The 22412-nt window shown below is 35.7% G+C and overlaps 1 protein-coding gene across 15 annotated transcripts in view, besides 1 other annotated feature; it reads left to right on the forward strand.

Moving 5' to 3' along the window:
* Nucleotides 1-22412, forward strand: part of NCAM2 (neural cell adhesion molecule 2) — a 544921-nt gene that overhangs the window by 191137 nt on the left and 331372 nt on the right. For 7 of the 15 annotated variants that reach the window (NM_001352592.2, XM_011529575.4, XM_047440784.1 and 4 more), the window contains exon 2: nucleotides 20996-21146. The exons of the other annotated variants lie outside the window; for them this stretch is intronic. In NM_001352592.2, the coding sequence (NP_001339521.1) occupies nucleotides 21017-21146 (130 nt within the window). In that variant the 5' untranslated portion in view covers nucleotides 20996-21016. The remainder of the gene's footprint in view (nucleotides 1-20995; nucleotides 21147-22412) is intronic. 15 annotated transcript variants of the gene reach the window in all.
* Nucleotides 505-799: a silencer, noted in NCBI's record as "tiled region #4841; HepG2 Repressive non-DNase unmatched - State 24:Quies". NCBI's record gives its function as "represses a minimal TATA promoter and a strong SV40 promoter by Sharpr-MPRA in HepG2 cells {active_cell/tissue: HepG2}" and the evidence as "EXISTENCE:reporter gene assay evidence [ECO:0000049][PMID:27701403]".

A 22412-nucleotide genomic window follows, 5' to 3' on the forward strand; every position in this document is an offset into this window, starting at 1 on the left:
CAAGACCTCGTCTCTATTTAAAAAATAAATAAAAAAAATAAATTCCAGACTTGATTTTAGCAAGTTTTAGAAAGTACCATAATTGAAAGTTAAGCAAGATTGACATTTTCAAAAGTGATCTGAAACCTGATTATTTTTATATTGCTCTTAAATCCTCACCCACTAGAAATCATAAAGTGATGAATTTGTTGGATATGTTTATAGAAGGGTCTTTCTGAAATTAATTTCTTTGGGGAAAATTGCCAGTAATTTACTCCATTCTGATGCAAAGGCAAGGATGTGAGTTTATGCTCTAGTCTTTTCTGGTCAGCCTTTAACTAGTCTACATAGAAATCCCAGTATGTGTCTCTTAATGTCAGAGCAATGCCGTCAAGTGGTGTCTGCCTAGTTACTCAGAAACTTGCCATGATAGATGGGCAAGGTGGTTCTATTTGTATTTGTAATGGAACAAAGGAGAGCAGCTGCTAAGTTGCGATCATTCTTAATTTCTGCATTATATCCAAGAGAAGAATGCATATGTGTTTACATTGACCAAATTTGGACTATGCAGAAGAGATGCATTCACTGGGGAAGAAGGGACTTGATTTAGACTCTATGCAATTGGGCAATGAAAACTGACCAGGCAGAAGTGGGGGAGAAACCACTGGATCCCTGGCTGTTAAAAAGTGAATAAGCAATATCTGTAAGTGTTAGTGCAAGTAAGGAAACATTTCCAAAAACCTACAGAATGTGTGCTCTGAACAAATGAGTTAGTTTTAAGCATCTCCCAGTTCCAAGAATCGAGAGCTATCTTTGGGCATTACCAATCAAGTAAGATCTTAGTTGCTTTGCCTCTCTTATCTACCCACCCATCTTCAATGCCCAACTTTTTATCCAGGGGCAAGAGAAGAAATTTCATCACTAAGTAAGTTCAGTGTGGCAATAGGATAAAAATAAATTTGCTCTTCTGGTTCGACTCTGAGTCTTCTTCTTCAGTGTTCTGGTTATTTATTACCGCTGGTGCTAACAATACACTTGGAAGGAGATTAAGTATGCACTATTAGTTTGGTTTAGGAATCTTCCCAGTTCTCTTCCACTGACATAATTCAGTTCATGTATATATTTGAGACAGCCTAGTGCAGAAAGTGAGAAGAGACTCTAGAACAAGCCTGCCTGGGATCAAGTTTTAGCTCTACTGTTTACTCACAGGATGACTTTGGACAACTTTTATTTATCTTCTTGGTGCCTTAATTTTCTTACCTGTAAAATGAGTCTAAGAATAGCATGTACCTTATAGGCTCTTTTGAGGAATAAATGAGTTGCAGAATTCCTACCATATGTAAAGTAGCATATGTAAAGCATATGTAAAGTTCCACAAAATTATTGTTGCTAATATTGTTATAAATTACAGTTAGTTGGATATCTTGTTACTGACAATGTTAGATCAAAGGCCGTGTATATTTACATACAGTATTTATTAGATACTGTCAAACTACCATCTAAAAGCTTTTTACAAATAATTCTCTCTCTAGATATAGTATAAAAAGCTAATTATAAATTGAGGCCATGTGAGGGAAACTGTCAGGAGGTCCCTTTAGCAATGAATGATAGTTTATAGAGAGTCAACCACTTTGAAAGTTATTTGGGAGAAATATACAGAACAGGTGGACTGCATGACCTGTTTGCCCTGTGAAAATAGGTATTTGAAATGACCTGATTCTCAACCTGAGAATTTTCAAAGTGACAAATTACACTCATTTGGCTTGTAATGATGTTCTGATTATAGGCTATAAGACCAATGATGGATTTCCCTGACTTCTTTTCTTAATGTTCTCAAATCCTGTTGTGACCTTTCCATATTCAAGCATGTAGCAATGATTTCAGAAACAATTAAAATTTTTATAATTATATAGTTAAATATGTATTTCTTTTCTTAGCACAAACTTACATGCTTTACTTTAAATCAGTTATTCTATATGCAACTTAATTTTAATGTTATGCCTTTAGTTTACATACATACAAAACTGTGTGATATTTAAAGCAGTTGTAAGAGTTATCAGATTTCTCTTGTCTTTGGTAGGATTTGTGAAGCTCTGCAAATCAGAGATAATTTAGATAGAGCTCTATGAAACATATTGGCACTATTTGTTTTGGCTTGTTTTCGTTAATTTTAATTATCATCATTAATTTATTCTACATCCTCAGTATTTATTGAGTTTCTTCTGTGCAGCAGGAAATAAAGCCAGGCACTGAAAATACAAATGAGAACAAGAGAGATGAGGTCACTGTCCTTAGGATGATTGCAACCTAGTGGGGGATGAACAATGTTACATTTTGACTTGTTGACATAGAGAAGAAGGGTTAGATCACCTAAGCAAAATAGAGAAGAGGACTGGTATTTAAAACCTGAAGAGAGGCTGGGTGCGGTGGCTCATCCCTGTAATCCCAGCACTTTGGGAGGCCGAGGCAGGCGGATCACCTGAGGTCAGGAGTTTGAGACCATCCTGGCTAACATGGTGAAACCCCGCTTCTACTAAAAATACAAAAGATTATCCTGGCATGGTGGCGCGCTGCTCTAATCCCAGCTACCCGGTAGGCTGAAGCAGGAGAATCACTTGAATCCAGGAGGCAGAGGTTGTGGTGAGCCAAGATTGCACCATTGCATTCCGGCTTGGGCAGCAAGAGGGAAACTCCCTCAAAAAACAAAAAAACAAAAACAAAAAAACTAAAAAAAAACCCGATGAGAGGAGAAGAAGCAAATGAGAGTGAGAAAGAAAAGCAATTTAGATGGATGAGAATCATGACTGTGCTCTAAAGCAAAGTGTAGAGGAAACTGTTTCAAAAGAAGGTGGTAAATAGAGCATTTAGAGTAGAGTAAATAGAGTAGATAAATAGAATAAAGTCCACATATGACATTAAAATATGGAAGTAATTGAAACATTGACCAAGCCTGTTGGTTGCAATGGTGGGTGCTGAAACTAAACTGAAGAGGATTTAGAAGTGAATCAGAGAATTAGAGGCAATACAAATAAGCATTACTTACAAAAAGTTTAGCTGAACAGGGTGCAGAGAATTGGGATGTTTGTTGTAGAGAAATGAGGAATAAAGGGAGAATTTTGGAAAGGACAGCGTAACAAACAAACAAATGAAAAATCCACAAAGGGCTGAGGTTGATGGTGAAGGTAAAAAAAACAAAACAAACAAAACAACCGTGAGTGAATAGAGTGAATAAGACATGGTTCTAGCATGGGAAGAGGTCACAATGCACCTGCAAGTTGAGGTCAGCCATTCAGACCTAATAATTATTACACACAAGAAGAGTCTTGAAAGAAAGAGGTTTCCTGGACCAGAACACCAGGTTCAAGATATTATCTGTACATCCTAGTGTCGTGAGGCAAGGGGAGTAGAGTGATAGACTAGACACAGGCACACAACTTTATGAAAGATACAAGAATACTTTACACACTTACCAATCATGGGCTATATCCTTTTCTTCTTCAGATTAACTTTTCTATTTAAAATACTTAGTTTTGAATTAAATAGATACTGGCTGTAAACAAAAGCTCCGTTTATGGATTATTCAAGGTAACTATCCCCATCTCTCTGTTTATCCCAGTCCATTGTAACAGTAAAGCTCTCTGTGTCTATCATGTCTAGCCAGTCTGCATCCATAATAAGCACTCAGATTACAGTTAAATGAATGAAAGGATTATAGGTATGCAATATTGGTATTTTATTAGATTATTATCTTTTTTAATATATAATAAATGAAATTTCCTGTAAATTCTTCCTGTTATAGCCATGCTGAGGGGAAGAAAAGACAAAGCTACTTAGTCATGATTGACAGAAATGGGAAGTTAAGTACAGCCTGTTCTGGGAATAATTGTGGTCATAACAGGGAAAACAAAAGTGAAAAACCTCATAAAACAGTTGACAATAATGTGAGAATATAGGAGTAGTACTTTTCCTTTTTTTTTTTTTTTTTTTTTTGAGACGGAGTCTCGCTCTGTCGCCAGGCTGGAGTGCAATGGCGCGATCTCGGCTCACTGCAACCTCTGCTTCCTGGGTTCAAGCAATTCTCCTGCCTCAGCCTCCCGAGTAGCTGGGACTACACAGGCGTGTCACCATGCTTGGCTAATTTTTGTATTTTCAGAAGAGATGGGGTTTCACCATGTTGGCCAGGATGGTCTTGATCTGTTGACCTCATGATCCGCCCACCTCGGCCTCCCAAAGTGCTGGGATTACAGGCATGAGCCACCGCACCTGGCCTCAGTTATTTTCATTTTTATGACAGTTACAGTTCTATTGAGAAATTCCCAACATATTGTTATTCTTGCATTATTATTTCAAATTTTGAGGAGAATATAACTGTTACAATTAAATATGGGTATTGAATTTAAAATGTTTTTATTAATCTTGATGATACTTTTTTACTGAATTTTATGTGCCTTGTATTAAAGTGTTTTAATTTCATATGAAAATACCAAAAATATTACACAATTTTCCAAAAACAAAGCAATGAGAAAGAATGAAAATATGATGACACGTACAACCTACATTTAATCTTATCGTTAGAAATACGTTCTTAATGTATAGTTCCATATATACATGGAATACAATGTACAGTTCCATAATAGGACAAATTCTAAGCTTCAGCAACAGCTCCAATTTCTCTATTATTAAAACTGTAATTGCAATTAGTATATGTTTTTTTCATTTAAGTATATTTTAATTTGCCATGTGGTTATTCATTTCTCTGATTCTTTATCAGAAAATCATTTCAGGCTAGAGGGACTTGGAAACATAAGGATATGAATGAAACCACATTTATAAAGAGAGTTGCTGAGTTATTATTATATCTTAGGACTTGACCTAAACTTTTTACATCTATTAACTCATATACTTTTATTTTATAAAGATGTGAAAACCTAGATAAATGGACACAAAATTTAACTAGTTCAAGGTAGTTTACACTAGTAAGGGGCAAACACATTATTATCCTTATCACTCTGTTGTACACTCAGTGTTTCCATGAGTCCAGTAGCACTAATAAATCTTACTGGTAGCTGTGGTATTAAATATGTACAAAATTGGCAGCTATGGTATTAAATATGTACAAAATTAAATTGAGAGACACAAACTTGACAGATTTCAATATTTTATTTTGTATTTTTAAATTTTAAATAATTGACAAATATAGGCTGAATAAAATATCCATTTTTTCAAGGTATACAATGGGGGTGATTTGATATATGTATACATTGTCTAATAATTACTGCAATCAAATTACCTAACATCCATCACCACTCATGTTGTACATAAGAATTCCTGAACTTCTTCATCTTTTGCCTAGAAGTTTGTACCCTTTGACCAACATTTCCCCATTTCCATCACCCTGAGCTTCTGGCAACCATCACTTCAGTCTCTGCTTCTAAGAATTCAAATTTTTTATGATCTGTATATAAATTAGAATATGCAGTGTTTATATTTCTGTGTGTCCAGTTTTCTCTGTGAAATGAATGATAATGAAAGGAGTAGAGAAGATGTTATGACTTTAAGATTAGGGAATGAGTGTTACAGCAACCACTGAGGAAATATAGGAATGGAGAACAGAAACAAACATCATTCATTTGTTCGTATTGCTATATTTTGGTAGGAAACACATAGAACCTCAAAGAAATAAACATGCATAAGTTTGTAAAATTGCTAAGATGTAGGAAATATAACCCTCAACTTAGTAACGTAAACTATGGAATAAAGGGGAAAAATCTGAATTTTAAAAGTATGCCATGTTTACAACTTTCAGTAAAATTATTCTACAGATAAAGCTTTGAGTATGTATCTCATCCATAAAGACCTAAACAGAAGTACATGCATAAGAAAATGAAATATTCAGTTAAAAACAGAGTTCAAAGGAAGAGCAGAATAATTAATGAATGTGCATTCTTCTTTTCAGCATCACTATGTTTTTGCTTCTATTATGACATGAGATTCTGTCTGTAGGAAATCATCCCAAGGGCATAAAACTCTCAAAATTGACATTAATATAACAGCATTAGCAAGAACTAGGTTTTTATATGATAAGTAAAAAGCAAAATCTAGAATCTGAAAGACATTTTCTGTTTTGTAGAAAAGGATAAGAAAATGATATGACTAAAAATTATTCTGATGTGTGTTTGATCAACTGACTCTTGAACATGTATTTTGACAGCATGTGCGATACTCCAGACATGATTGCTGTAGCTGTAATGCACACTCCAAAGTGTAAAAATGAAATGTTAGTCAGACTCTAGTAATAGTTTCTCAGTTTTATACATTCAAAAGTGCCAAACCTAGGAATTAAGTCACTGAATGAAGAAATAAAACTGTGTGATCTACATTGATCATATGTACTTATAATGAGGATGGAGAGGTAGTTTAAAATTGTGACAGAGGTGATTAATATCTGAGTTTAAATAATTAAAATAATCTGACTTCTCAAAATATATTTTACATTCTCAGTCAACTTAAGCTGGATCAGTGTATGAAGTTTTTGTAATCCTACATGATTTAAATTCTAACCAAAAACTCTTTAGTGTGATTAAGGTCCTATGGCGTGGTGGACACTGAGAAAGCCCACTCAGTTCCCACTTTAAGAAAGAATTTGCTGCTCCTCCTTCTGGGAGTTTTGTCAGACTTAGCTGTCAGCACCCCTAAGGACTGCCTCAACCGCAGAGAGCTACCTCACCAGGAATCATGCCCTTCCTGGGTCAACCCACATCCAATGACTGATTGAGGCTGGGCAAAAAGGACTGACCATTTCTTCCCAACACAAGATAACTCTGGTGAGCCATTTCGGTTCCACAGCTTCCTATGAGGATTGCTGAACCTGTTGGGCCTTCATTTTACATCACAGTTGAATTTTTCTTTCTTCTCAATCCTTGCTTCCTGCCCTCCTTTCCACAGGGGTTGATTCTTGAGCACTAGATGTTTCTTGGACTCTACTTCACAAAGAATCCAAATTGTGACATAAGATGTATGGATCTCATCCACAAATGTATAGTCTAGGCCCTAGGGTCACAAGATCAAATTCTAGAGGAGTGAAGTGAGTAATTTGTGGAGTGAGTGACTTCAAGTATCAAGTAGTGAGTGTGGTGGTGATATGGCAGGGGCCAGAAACTGGAGAGCACAGACCTCTGAAAAATCAAATTTAATCACAATAAAATGTTGTGATTTTATTTTGAGGTGAACTAGTTTGGATCTGTGTCTCCACCCAAATCTCATGCCCGCTTGTTATCCCCAGTGTTGGAGGTGGGGCCTGGTGGCAGGTGATTGGATCATGGGGGCCGTTTCTCATGAATGATTTAACATCGTCCCCTTCAGTGCTGTTCCTGTCGTACTGAGTGAGTTCTTGGGAGATCTCGTTGTTTAAAAGTGTGGAGCACGTAGCACCTTCCCCTCACTCCTCCTGCTCCAACCATGTGAGATACACCTGCTCCTGTGTTGCCTTCTTCTGTGAGTAAAAGCTCGCTGAGACCTCCCCAGAAGCAGAAACCACTATGCTTCCCATAGGACCAGTGGAACTGTGAGCTAGCTAAACCTCGTTTTTTTGTTTGTTTCATTTTTGTTTCGTTTTTGTTTTTTGAGACAGAGTCTCACTCTGCTACCCAGGCTGGAGTGCAGTGGCACGATCTCAGCTCACTGCAACTTCTGCCTCCCGGGTTCAAGCGATTTTCCTGCTTCAGCCTCCTGAGTAGCTGGGATTGCAGGTGCCCAGCACCACGCCTGGCTAACTTTGGTATTTTTAGTAGAGATGAGGTTTCACCATGTTGGCCAGGCTGGTCTCGAACTCCTGGCCTCAAGTGATCTGCCCACCTTGTCCTCCAAAAGTGCTGGGATTACAGGTGTGAGCCACCGTGCCCAGCCCCTCTTTTCTTTAGAAAGTACCCAGTCTCAGGTGTTTCTTTGTAGCTGTGCAGAAACAGACAAATACTTGAGGCAAACAAAATATATTTTATAACCAAAGAGAAGCCGCTCTGTTAAATCTTCCAAGCATAAAGCCATATGTTAAGAGGCATAGAAATAAAGCAGTACTCAGGGATTTCAAATCTAAAATCCTGATGAACACGTTGCATTTTCTGTCTAAAATAGGACTTTGCAAGGTCTAACACATATCGTTTCTGTGTTTTCTCTTATGAAGGATAAGCCTTACCAATTCCCTTCCAACTCTATGGCCAACGAGTTGAGAATATAGAGATGACTGGGATCATAAGAAACAGTAGACTGAGCTGAGGGATTTTCTAGGCAACTACTGAGGGGGTTGGGAGGGAAGTTCTTGAGCATGTCTAACATGGAGCCAAAATATCATTTAGCCATTGTGAAATGGACAGCATTGCACCTTTGGTGACAAAATACTGAGTTTGAATGTTGCCTTTACTGTTACTATGACTGGAGATATAACCAGTGGTCTCCATGCCTGTCTCCTCCTCTGCCAAATTATGTTAATATTAAAACTTCCTACTTTACCTGGTTCATATCACTCTTATGGGTAATCATGTGAGTTAACATATATGAAAACCATTTTTATGTATTTTTATATATATTTATTCTTCAGAATTTTTTCAGCTGCTACTTATCTACCTAAACAGAATCTAGTTATTTTTTTAAATATGTAAAGTATATGTGTGTGTGTGTGTGTGTGTGTGTGTGTGTGTGTGTGTGTGTGTATTCATTTGGTGATCTGTCCTTTCTAAATTTTTAATATAGTTAACTGGATTCTATCAATTTGCATTTTAATGCAATTAAAGTAAGTATAAGTTTCTTTTTTCCATTTACTTTGAGTAAGAATAATCATGTAGAATACAGTGGATGAAAATGTTCTTTCAAGTTGGCCGGAATGTACTTTACTGGAAAGAAAATGATATAAAAAATGCACTGAATTATCACTTTCTTACCTTGAATAGAGAATGACCTTATAGAAAGATGAATTAAAATGCTTTAGAAGTTGAATGGAAACCTGCTAGTTCACTTAATAAAATGAAGCATTGACTATCCAAGGCTAGCAATGTAGAAAAAATAATTCTTATCATTCTGACTCTTGTCCTCAAGATTCACTTTCTTCTCAAGGTCTGTTGATAATAACTACTGGAGCAAGGCTGTGGGAACAGAAAAAACAGACATCGTGTGTTCTTTAAGACCCCTGCCTACTGTGGCTATAAACTTCCCTGTTTCTCTCTATATTGTCTACAGTACACCCTTCAAATCAACAGCATGAAACTTAGCACATAAAAAAGTACTTGCTATGAGATTTCTGAATGAATATAAATGTCAGAGACCAGAACGAAGCATTCAAGAGAGTTTTTACCAGTGTCTCAGAGATCAAATAAAAGGATGCAAACATGGAAAATTCACTTTCCATTATGTATCTGGGTGGCAAATTCAGGCTCAGTTAAGAGCTCCTGTATGTAGGGTTACCTTCTGTTCTGGTTTGCTGGAACAGTCCCATTTATGATTTTTGTCCTAGGATTTAAAAAAATCATTTCTCTTTAAAGTCTTAAATGTAACCCAGTTTGTATGCATTGTGTGACCACTCTACATTTCGATATCCCTATTTTCATTTATAGTTTGTGGAAAGAGTCAGTCCTCCTCCACTTCTAAGGAACATCTAATATCTCCAGGATATTTTTTTGGATTCAGGTTTTATTAATGTCTTTCATTGCAAAATGTTTCCAATTATAAAACAGTCAGAGAGCTCTGCATTAATAAACTTGCCTGTCTTTCATAAGGGCCAGAGATTTTGAAATGCCTGGTGCCCAAACATACATATGCAAACACACATACCCAGTGCTACTAGCAGGTTGTTACAACCATATCTAAAATATTCCAAATTCGGACTTGTGTGGCTCAGACCTGGGTAGAGATGAAAAACCTCATGACTGAGCTTGGAGAAAAAGCAGCTGAAGCTTAGCATCCAGGCCCAAGGGAGCAAGACATGGAGGCATGCTCCTGTCTAGGGTCTTCCTCCAATTCTGATGACCTGTCTAAAGAGCGTCTTCCTGTGAAAATGACTAACCTTGAGAGTAGTGATCTCATTCAGACTATAGTCCCAATCAACTTTGAATGATTTTACTTCATGACCTCAGTAAAGAACACAAAAATAATAAAGTAAGATTAATATCTACGTAAGAAATACACATTACCACTGCATAGATTATGTCCAGTATAATAGGATAGGCCTATGTCAGTTTGTAAAAACTTTATTAATGGAAGTTTTGTTGTCCTGTTCTATAATCGTATGGCATTCTTATACTTATGAATGTGAGCTATTTATGTCACATCTCGTGTCTTCTGTTTGTCAAAATGGTTCACCATTAGAGGCTGGGCCTTTAACTACTACTAATTATTAATACAATGGCTTACACACTCTCATAAGTGGCCACTAAAGAGAGAATTCACATGCTTTTAATTATATTGCTGTGCATGTTAACGCAAGATAATTTTTGCCACTCCATGAAGACTGCCCCCGAATTGTCAGGGATTCCAAGAAAGAAAATGTCTCTGTCTCTGTCTCTCTCTTTTTAATTCTCAAGGAGGCAGCCCAAAAGAGAAAGAGAAGAGAGTAATAAACCAAGGTAAAGTTAAGATGGGACTAACTCAGCTGACAGATAACAATCCCCATGAAACCCAGGCTTGACCCCTAGTAACAATGCCATGAAAGAATAGATAGAAATGCACTTTGAAAAAGATGACACTTTAGAACATAATCAAATGGACTTGCATGGGTCACAACACATCCTTCATACCAGGAAACGCTGCGTGAGGGTTCTCAGAAGTCGCATGACTCATATAGTCCGTCAACTCTCAGGAATGGGTTCTGAGAATTCCAAGTAAGACAACCCCATGCCTGAAAAAAAAAAAAAAAAGCCTTGAAATCTTTATTGTATTTCATTAACAGTTTTACTAGCTGTTACTTTTCAACGTTTAAGAAATAAAGAAGATAGAAACCAATAGGTGGCCAGATAAAACTGTCAAATGCAATTTATAAAGCCTTAGAACTTTCTGGTCACTGTGAAACATAAAAACATAAAATCAGATTCATAGAAAATGCAGACTATAAACATTTTTTTTTTGCTGGTTAACTTACCACACTGCTATCTTGTATTTTACAGGAAATTATTTGACTCAATTAGGGACAAAAATGAAAACATGTTTGTCCTTAAAAATAGGTCTAAATTAATGGGGCCCTTCATTTTTTTTTTTTTTTTTTTTGAAGTGTCAACCCTCCCAAAAGCATTTTGGTTCCATCTTTGAGAAATAAAATTAGTCTTATAAACTGTGTGTGTGTTTGTGTGTGTGAGAGAGTTTTCTTGTCTGATACTTTTCTAACCCTAGACCACAGATTCTCGGGTGTAGTGATAATATGTGTATAGATCTTCTCCAACATTATCTATCAGAGTGCATATTAATGAGTGGATAATTGGAGAATACTTTTTTATGATTTTAATATATATTTTCACTTTCAAAGCAGTTTGACAACAGAATGCCCTAATGAAAGTGAAACTTAATGAGAGACTACTGATACTTCCTAATACCGTGTGTGCGGATTACTAAGCACATCTCCAAAGTGAAACAACTTTCCCATTTTCATCCCATTTCTTTGCCATACACGTGTATAATTTATTTTATTGATTATTAGGAAATATGAGAAGACTATGAATATGAGTTTATTATCCAATTTAGAGAAGTTTATATTTGAGCTGATATGAAATAGTTTATACCTAAAGCAGTGCAATTCCCCAAGATCATGATTTTCAGTTATGCTGCTCCCACTGCCTTTTTGTAAGGAATACTCCTAATGACACAGGTGCCACGGCCTGTGACCAGTAGGCGAATGCCAGAATCACAAAACAGCAAGTTTACATCCTGGGAATCCCAGCTTAGGCAATCTGAATATGACTTCATAACAACAAATGACTATGAAATTCTGACAAACTAAAGGACAATAGTGATATGTTTGTGTAGTGAATTAATGGAAAGAAAAGTATTATCCAGAAGGATAGAAGCTGGAAGACTCAGGCTGATTAAATATTCACTAGATGGATATCTCTGATGCTTAAACTTGGGTACACAATGTAGTTCAACCCCAGTTTTTGTTAATATTCATTGTTGTAATCTTCCACAGCATGTTTAATGAAGTAGATAATGTAAAGCAGTGGTTCATTCCTAGCTGCACGATTGAATCCTTTAAGGAGATGCAGTCACTCCAGATTTTCTTTTTCCAGTATTCTAGAGCAGCAGGTCTCAAATAATGGTCTCTGGACTTACAGCTTCAGCATCATCTGGGGAATTTTTAGAAATCTGAATTCTCAGATATTTCTCTAGACCTTCTAAATCAGAAAATATGGATGGGTCTCAAAATCATGTTAAAAAAAGACTTCCAGGTGGTCTAACTGTATCCCAAACTTGAGAATCAGTATCTGGGATGAGGTCTATGCATCAGTGTCGCTTAAATGTTTCTTGCAAGTCTCATGGAATCTGGAGTTGAGAAGCACAAGCCTTACAGGACCTTCTTTAAAAGGGGAAGGAGCATAGCATAGTGGTTTTAGAGAGTCGTGAGGAGCCAAGGCTGGCTTTGGAGCTGGAATATCAGGGTTAAAATTCATGTTCCTCCACTTCCCAGTTTTGTGACTTTGTATAAATTAATCTGTGCTTCAGTTTACCACCATATAAATCTGGTGATAATAATTGTACACATTTCTTAGTGTAGTTGTGATGATTAAATAGGCCAAGAAATGTAAAGCACCTAAAATAGTGCCTGGCACCAAATAAATGCTCAATAAATGTGAGCTAGAATACTTATCATTAAAGTATTATAATTACATGCCTTGAATATAAAGCAAATATCCTTTTTTTTTTTTTTTTTTTTTTTCTGAGGCGGAGTTTTGCTTTTGTTGCCCAGGCTGGAGTGCAATGGTGCAAACTTGGCTCACCGCAACCTCCATCTCCCAGGTTCAAGCGGTTCTCCTGCCTCAGCCTCCCAAGTAGCTGGGAATACAGGCATGTGCCACCATGCCTGGCTAATTTTGCATTTTTAGTAGAGACGGGGTTTCACCATGTTGGTCAGGCTGGTCTCGAACTCCTGACCTCAGATCATCTGCCCACCGCAGCCTCCCAAAGTGCTGGGATTACAGGCGTGAGCCACTGTGCCGGGCCCATGCTTTGTTTTTATGCTATAAAAAGTAATTAATTTTGAATAGGTTGAACTTAAAACAAATAAATTAGGTTAAGTTCTCAAACTTTTAACTTGCAGTAATGAAAACTCTTAAATATTTATAAGTGGATATTTTCCATTTCACCTATATCTATTAAAAATATTATCAATGTAGGATGGATGAATTTCTAGGACATATATTTCATCATATTTTTATCAGGGTATATCAGATATGGTTATTTGCCACTGTGACCATCACTATCAATAACAGTTGTTTGTCTCCAATTTCACAGGCTACTCCAATCTTCAGTTTTTAACCTGGAGTCCAAGAGCACCAACTTTAATGGATTGAACTCTATAAGAATATAGTTGGTGTTTTTGAAACTCTCTTTGATTTTATAGATTTAAATTACAATTCTGAGTTAGAGTCACTAGACTGTCAAATGAATTCTTGGCACAAATATTTTGAAAATTAAAATATGAAGGACTCCCGTGTAAGAGGAATCAGACTTTTAAATTAATTGGCTCCTTTTACCTATGGCCTTTGCTTTGTCTTGTTTTCTTGCCTCTCTTGTTAATTACTACCTCTAGATCTGCTTATTATTCATTTATGCTCACATATTTCACCAAGAAAATCTGAAAAACAAATCTGTTTAAGATAAGAATATGCAGTTTTTGAAAGCCTGTAAGTGTAAACCACCCAGACTTTCCACACCTGGATTTAATGGCATTTGTTTTTGCCTGTACAAAGTTCCTTTGGAGTATCATTTCATATGTACAGTAATGATGTCAGGGTGAGTGAATTTAGAACTGCTTATACAATTGTCCAGTAGTCTGATTTCCTACAGGTTACAAATTTTGTATCATTCATTCCTGGATCACAGAATCTATTGCATTTCCTAATACATACTATATGCTCAATCAAGAGTTTATGAGTGAAGAAATTATAACAACTTTAGGAGATGCTGCTTTTCTGTAGAAGTTCTGTAATAGGCAACAGTGTAAGTAATTAAAATATCAGTATTTGAAGCAGATAAGACTGAAGATTTTTTCCTGATTACTTCTTAAAGTGTGTAGGTATTGAGATCTTTTTATGTTTTATCATTGTGGTCCAGATTGGTTAGTTTATGACTGTAGAGGCTTATTTATAACTTAAGTTTATTAAGTATTCATTTTACATGAGTTCTTCCTTTGAGCTATGCCAATATGTAATCAGTTTACTTACAACCATAAGATTTTTTCTTGTTTGTTTCCTCTTATTAATGAACAAATCACTTTGATAATGTGGCAGAATACTTACCGTAGTTAACACTGGAAGTTACTCATTCAACAAGTGTCTATTGAGTATCAACAAGTGTCTTCTAACATACCTGTTTACCTTTACCTCCAGTTACTGCACATGATCCATCTTCAATTTTGACATAGGTGTATTTGCTGAGTCAGAGCTCACATATAAGTGATTCTACCTTTATCTCCCTTGGTTCTTACAATTTTAGCATCTTGCTCTTTGATGTCTACTGCTGCTGCCATCTTGGCATAGCAATTATTTATAGACAGCCATGCCATGTAATAAAAATATAAATATTATTATTTATGATGCCCTAGTTATTGCTGGATTTATTTATGTGGTCATATTTTATTTTTGAGATTTTCGGTAGCTTTCTTATACAGGGTACTTGATACAGAACACACTATTTAACCTTGTGTTGCATAATGTTTTTAAATCAATTTGACAAAGGGATTTCTTTGGAAGAAAGATATTTGTTTTGTTCGCTGTTTTGTAAATAACATTTTCAAACTTGTTATGCTTTTTAAGGCTGAAAAGAAAGCCATATTGGAAATTAGAGTTGGATTCTAGCCAATATTCTGACAAGGTGTCATCTAACCTTGACATTCAGATTAACACAGATCCCTTAGTTTCTACCATGAATATTTACATATACCAAAGTTCAACTGTCCACTTTATTTGAAAGAACCTTTATCAGACTGCTGATACATCTACTCTCTATTATATAGAAAAATATTTTAGAAAAATTGGGCTATTGCCAATTTATTCATATCATTGCATATGGCCATCTGGAAAATGTTTTTCTTAATTGCTTTTTGGTGTGTTATGCACAGCAAGGAGCTGCTGTAACTCTCCTGACTACAATTTTCATATAAATATAGAACGTATCCTTTTTAAGTAGATATTTCCACTTTCCGTTCACTCTTTGCCTCCTTTGTGTAAGTTCGAACTCTCCTTTTTCTAAGCACACATATCATTCACTTTAATAATGGACTTCTGAGATATTTGATGGAAGTTTCTGCAAAATAACATATATATATATATGCAAGTGAACATTCACGTGTATATGTATATGTGTGACATGTGCACACAAGAAAGAGTCTAACGGTAAACCGTATTCATTTCTTGTTCTCCTAATCTACCATTAATGGTGTGGATATTATATTTCACCTGCCGACAAAAATTAAATATATTTTAATACACAAACTGAACATTTGTTTATTTCCTACATGCACCTGCAGGCTTTTCATCACAATTTTCTCATAAAACTGTATTTAGTTTTTGCATTGTTTGTCAACATGTCAGAATTAACTGTGACACTTTAAAATTGTATTTTAATTTATATTAGTCTGTGGATACTACTGCGTACCAGTGGAATCAGAATCTGATGGAGTGTAGCCTTTATTTTGGGGGCATTCTGATGTATATTATCTTTGTTTAAGACCTGTTTCGTTGTGTACATTATGTGGCTTATATCTTGTTTTAAGTTTAGATAATTTTTAATAACTAGTGACACATTATAAAGCCTACACTTTTTTTCATTTAAAATGGAAAACAAGGAAATGCAATTAACAGTATAAATTATTTGTGTTTATATAGTTGACTATTTAGAAGAAATATCCAGGATCTTTAATTTTTTTTAAGGAAAAACTTTAAACTTTCAAGAAATGTTAGGAGTGATTTTCTTACTCTATTCAGCAGCTATAAGAAAATACCATAGACTGAGGTAGCCTATAAGCAGCAGAGATGTATTTCACACAGTTGTGGAAGCTGCAAAGTCCAAGATTAGGTGTCAGCAGATTTGGTATCTGGCGAGGATCAGTCTTCTGTTTCACAAATGGCACCTTTTAGTGGTGCACTCACATGGTAGAATGGACTAGGTAGCTCTCTGTGGCTTATTATATAAGGGTTCTAATCCCATTCATGAAAGCTTTGCCCTCATAACTTAGTTAGTTCCCAAAAGTCCAACTCCTGAAACTATTACATTGGTGATTAGGTGTCAATATATGACATTTAAGGGGACCCAAACATTCAGATTGTAGCAGTACTCTTAGCAACTTATTCAATTTCATCTCTTCTAAAATATGTACTGTGCTTTTTAGGACATCATAGGTGATTAGCAAATGTTAATTAAGTGAATGAAGAGTATTCAGAGTAGCGTGTGGGAGATAGAATGATGGTTAACTTGGATTTTGTTTCCATTTGTAATACATTAAGTTTCATATCACAGTTATAAATTCTTATTTTGTAATAATAAATTCACCATTACACCTTAGGTAGGACAGAATTTTTACAACATAAAGTTGTGAAAGCTCTTGAAAACTTCTGTTATCACTTAACTGTTCAAACAGCCTTCAAAAACTTATTTAAATTAGTTGTGTATGGAAGAATATAAAAGTAGATTCACCTAATTATAATTGATTCACCTAATTATTCTAAACTAATTATAATCCATGATGCTGCTATGACCTTGCAGAAAGACTCCTTAGCATGTTGAAATATCATATAGTCTTACTGGGTTTGAACATTTAATGGCATCACGAACACCACCCGCAATAAATTCATGGGGCAAAACAAGCTTTAAGAACCTACGTGTAGGGAACGGAGTTTGTTTTTATGGCTTTAGGTTACAGGTGTTGTTATATGCTTCTGCGACATAAAATTACATGTTTTATAACTTTTTCAATTTTGTCACAATTAGGAATGTAGGATATCTTAAATTTGTACCTTAGTTCTTTGGTATAGAAATTGGAGAAAATGTAACTATTTTTGTAAGCCTTATTAATTAAAGGATGAATGCATGCATGTATTCAACAGGAACCCAATGGAATAATATAAAGTGCTTCTTGGTCTGGTATCTATAACATTTACAGTTAAATCAGATTATTATAGATATTAAATTATGTATTATTAAAACTGTAAGCAAATAATTTGCCCATGGGTGAAGAGATGGCCAATATCCTTTTCTTTAGACTATACAAGGTATTTATCAGTATCTCAACAAGCCAAAACCACATCCGTTCACATTTTTAAGAATTTTCACATTTACTTTAGAAAATCAAAAATTAAACTATAGACATTGTGATTATTATTGAATGTTAACATAAAATGGAGATGTAGTGCAAGACACCTTATCAGTTATGTAGTCATAATTGTTTGCATGCATACAGCATTTAACACACATTAATCAGAATATTGTTATGTTAAAATAAAATTTGTCTTATTCATTGGGAAAAGCTTTAGCGTTCTCGAGCTTTAATTTAAAGAGTGGGAAATAATGTGTACAATGGTAATTTTTGGCACTCAGGAAGAAGCAGAATGTTATCTGTCTTGGATGTTATTATTGCTCTGTATATCTGCACAATTTTCCTGTGATCTACCACTAGGGCAGGTGTTGAGAGATGGAACTTGAATACTCAATGGAAATTAAAGATACTGTGTTTGAATCTGTCATGCCAAGCAAGGATTCAAGACTGTGACTGTAACACAGAGAAACAAAACAGGAATGTAAACTATTTGAACTAAGGTGTAAGTTGGGGCTTTCCCACAGAGAATTAATAAGGTCCTGACTATTGGGAACAGGACACAAAGTTATTGATGGCTTATAAAAATCTCTGACCTGCAAGTGCAAACTTGAGCTATGGGTTATGTAGATGATTCAGGTACCCATTCCAAATACCTATTCCAGGATGGCATGAGGACTGGCCAATCAACAGGAGACTGAGAGTATGTGAGGACAGAAAACTAAAACTTTAAATATAGGAAGACACTCCCCTCCCCAAATAGTAAAATATCATTATAACTCATATGCATAAAAATTGGCTGACCACTAAATATTACACTTGAATGTAAACTGCATATTATCAGGGCAATACAGATGCTTTAGTCTCTTCCTTTTCATATGACTTGTCAAGAAGAATTAAACAGAAGCTCTGAAACATTGAGTTAATTGTGCTTTTTAATGGGTTCTGTAAAACAGGTATGACTGTCATTCTTCCAACTTAAATAAACAAAACTATGCCTATGAATTATTAAATAGCTGTTTAATACATTATTAAATTTTTGCTTCTGTGAACTTGAGTAACCAAATTAATTGAAATGCTGTGTTAGATCATAAGCCCCTTTGAAGTTAATTACAATCAGTTGCTAGAAAGAATTTTCCAAGATATATTGAAAATATACCAAGCTATAAATACTTCCAAGGTATAAATTACAATAAAAAATGTTTAAAGTGGAATGTAACAATGGACAATGGTGTATGACCTTGAGTCAACTGACAATGAATAAAATAGAACATATTAAAAGTATGTTTTAATTATCACTTCAAACCATTTAAATGTCTTTAGACTAATAAAATCCAATCTGTACTAGGCAGCAGGGGAGGGTGGAATTGATGTCTCTGTTGTAATATTAATACCAGTTAGAAGACTTTGTAATATTTAGAGCCCAAGTGTGCTGACATCTACAAAATGTCATAATTTTATTTCTTGTTTTCAATGTTAGGATGACCTTGGGTAAAAGACAGCATCTTTTTATTTTAGCTTCTTTATGGTAAAATATACATGGTTGTAAGTTTCAGCTTTCATTCAGTGGGTTTATTTGATGATATCAGATTCTGATTCTAAAACCGTGAAAACTTGAAATGTGGAACTGCCTATGTGGAGATTATTGTAGAGGAGACCTTAAGAAAAAAAAAATCTTTGACATTTTCTTCCTGTACCTGCTTAGCTTATAGGCAAAAATCACCACAGAAAAATAAGTGACAATTTAATTCTTAAAACTCCCAATATAATTTTCCCATTGCATCATTTTATATCATGCTCAGTAAGTTTTTAGATTCAACCTAAAATTATCTTATATTTATAAATATTTTCTTCTTTTTCTTTGTTCTATGTTCAATAACATAAACCTGGTTGAGATTGAGCTATAAGATTTGTATCCTTAATAGGCAGGGGTTGAACAGGATCATTTTTTTTTAACCTGGACTGGCACATTGATGCCTCATCTGTGTTGTGATTTAATGTAAAAATAATTCTGAATCTGTGAAATATATTGATTTTTTACTTTAATGTGATTGCTTTATCGACACCTTGATGTTCCCCACTCTCAGCGTCCTATTAAGAGATAACTTTGAGAACATCAAATGGTAATAGTCCCTAGGCCAGGGTCAGGAATTTATTGCCATTTCTAGGGTTGATAATGGGTTTAGCTTGGGTTTTATTTATTTACTTACGAGATTGGTCTTGCTGTGTCACCCAGGCTGGATTGCAGTGGCACGATCACAGCTCACCACAGCCTCGAACTTCTAGACTCAAGTAATCCTCCTGTCTCATCTTCCCAGATAGCTCCGACTATAGATGTACAACACAATGCCCAGTTAATTTATTTATTTTTATTTTTTTCGGAAAGACTGGGTCTTGCTATGTTTTCCAGTCTCAAATCCCTTGACCTCCCAAAGTGGTGGGGTTACAGGTGTGAGCCACCATGCCTGGCCTAGCTTGGGTTTTAAAGTATAGTGAGGCATCTGGTATGGGTGGGAGCTTGTGCTGGTCACATGAGGCAGGATGGGAAAAGGGCAGGGAGACTTGCAGCTAGTCATGGAAGTGGGTCCATCAACAAAGGTATAGGTTATTGCAGAGGTTGTCTGTTATAAAATGCTATTCTTTTATAGTCTGCTATCATGAAAGCTCTGATTGTCTGCTCTGTGTTAAAAAATTAAAAGATACGTGTGTTCTACACATAAGATGGAATATACAATGGCTGAGTAGTGTCCCTCAGAAAACTGAGAAGAAGAAACAGTGGCAGACACTAGCCGAATCTTGCTATGTTCCCCAAAGATGGTACTTGCCACATTATTACTTTCCCCTCAACCCCCAAAGACAGTAACATGGCATTATGGTAAGATATTGCGACTAAAACATCCCGGAAAACTTGTCCAAGCACATACTTAGAATTTCTTAGCAATAACTCAGGATTAGTATGGGATTGGAAGGGCTGGCCGACTTTCCATTGTGGAAGTCAAGAGCTCATACTCCATAATGTGTCTTAGAGGAGGACACAGAAAATAAACAATGGCTTTTCATGCCATGAAATAATGGAAATGCATTGATAGATCAAACTTGAATGTGCAATACATTGTTTTCTGTTATCTCTAATCAAATACATGTTACATTGAGACATTTTATTAGAAAAATGGGTTAATTTGGCAAGACTGTATCCATTGCTAAATATTGCCTCTTTTGTACTTACTGAACTTAGGCAATAGATTGAAAACATAAAACGTTAAAATGCAGTGTTTATTTACAAACGGAAATAATTCTAAACTACCTGATCATTTGAGGTTCATAACCTGAAAACACTTTAATCACCTAGATTCTATAAGCTGAGGAATTAATTTATTTAACAATTTTCAAAATACTGAGATATTTAAGAGCACCAGGACACTCCATGACATATTTACTGTAAGAATTCTTCATGAAGTACAAGTAATTAAAAACTCAAAGGGTGTAAGAGACTTAAAGAACAATTTCTTCTTTCAGAGTTATTTGAAGAGTACCACGATGGTGAGATCTGATTCAGGAGGACAAGTTTACCTTGATTATCACAACAGGCAAGGTCTCTTTGTTGACTGGAAATACAACGAAGCACTTTATCTTGAAGAAGGGCAACCAGAGACTTATTACAGGACAGGTCAGCTGGACCATTGCCCAGGGCTGTAATCTATAAGGAATGTCAAAATGTCATTGAAAGGCAATGAGGTGGAGAACATCTTATTTACTAGAACTCCCCTAGAGGGAGAATGTGTCTTGTAGTTCAAAGGGATACTTTGATAAATTACCAGTGGTGTGGGGTAAGGCAGAGGAGGGGGAGAGTTGGGAGGGTGGGAAATGGGAGAAGCCACTAGACTGGATGCCAAGGTAGCTTCCATATAGGAGAAGTACAGGAGTTTACTAATACTCTCCCCAAACACACACACACACACACACACACACACACACACACACACACACACACACACACACGGGTTAGTATTATCAAGTGTTTCCACCAGCAATTTATTTCATAAATTGCTAAATACATTTTAAGAATCTTAAACTCTGTACTAAATAAACGTGCAGATTAAATACTGTTTTTAAAATTATACCTTTATTTGGATTCAGTTCCAAGGTCAACACCATCTCCTCCCCGAATACGAACTTAGCAGTTCTTGAGCCATTTCATCTAAAAAGCACAGAAACTTCTTGCTTATCAGAAGCATGTCTGACTTCCAGCAAATTATTTTTACTAGGAGAAACAAAATACTGTGGTATTTACCAGGAATTGTGATACTTCATTTATACACATACTTTATTTAATCCTTACCATGACCATAGATGACTTACATATGCTAAGAGCCAGGACTCTAGTCCGATTCAAATCTGTCTGACCCCAGAATCCTTAGCATTTTCAATGTGTTTCTGGAAATAGCCTTACCATAAACCGCAGTTGCACTTTTTACCACCTAATGTGTTAGTGGGAATTATTTTATTATTACTTTCAGTTACAGAAAATAACTAGGCTAAGTATACTGAAATATGGAATACATGCTGCAGGAAAAACAAAACAAACAACACAACAACAACAACAAAACAAAACAGAAAAACAGGGCACACGTTTTCCAAAAGAACAGCTTGGTCCAACATTGAAGTGCTGTTAGTTTGCTCTATGCTGTGGTCACTGCTTCTTTCCACATGTCCCTTTCGTTTATTTCTCTCATGGAATATTAACTTCCTTTGTTCCTTATCTCCTATGGTAGAAATATACTGTCCACTGCAGCCTGAGAGTTTCTGGCCTGGCTTGACTATACGCTCCTGAGGATAGGAACTTGTCAAGTCCTGTTAACCCTGATTCCCAGTTCTTTACCTCAACTACTGGCAAAGATTTGGAAAATCTGGATCTATTGTACATTGGTGATGG

This window comes from Homo sapiens, chromosome 21 (assembly GCF_000001405.40).
Source record: "Homo sapiens chromosome 21, GRCh38.p14 Primary Assembly".
In the NCBI taxonomy this organism is placed as follows: Eukaryota; Metazoa; Chordata; class Mammalia; order Primates; family Hominidae; genus Homo; species Homo sapiens.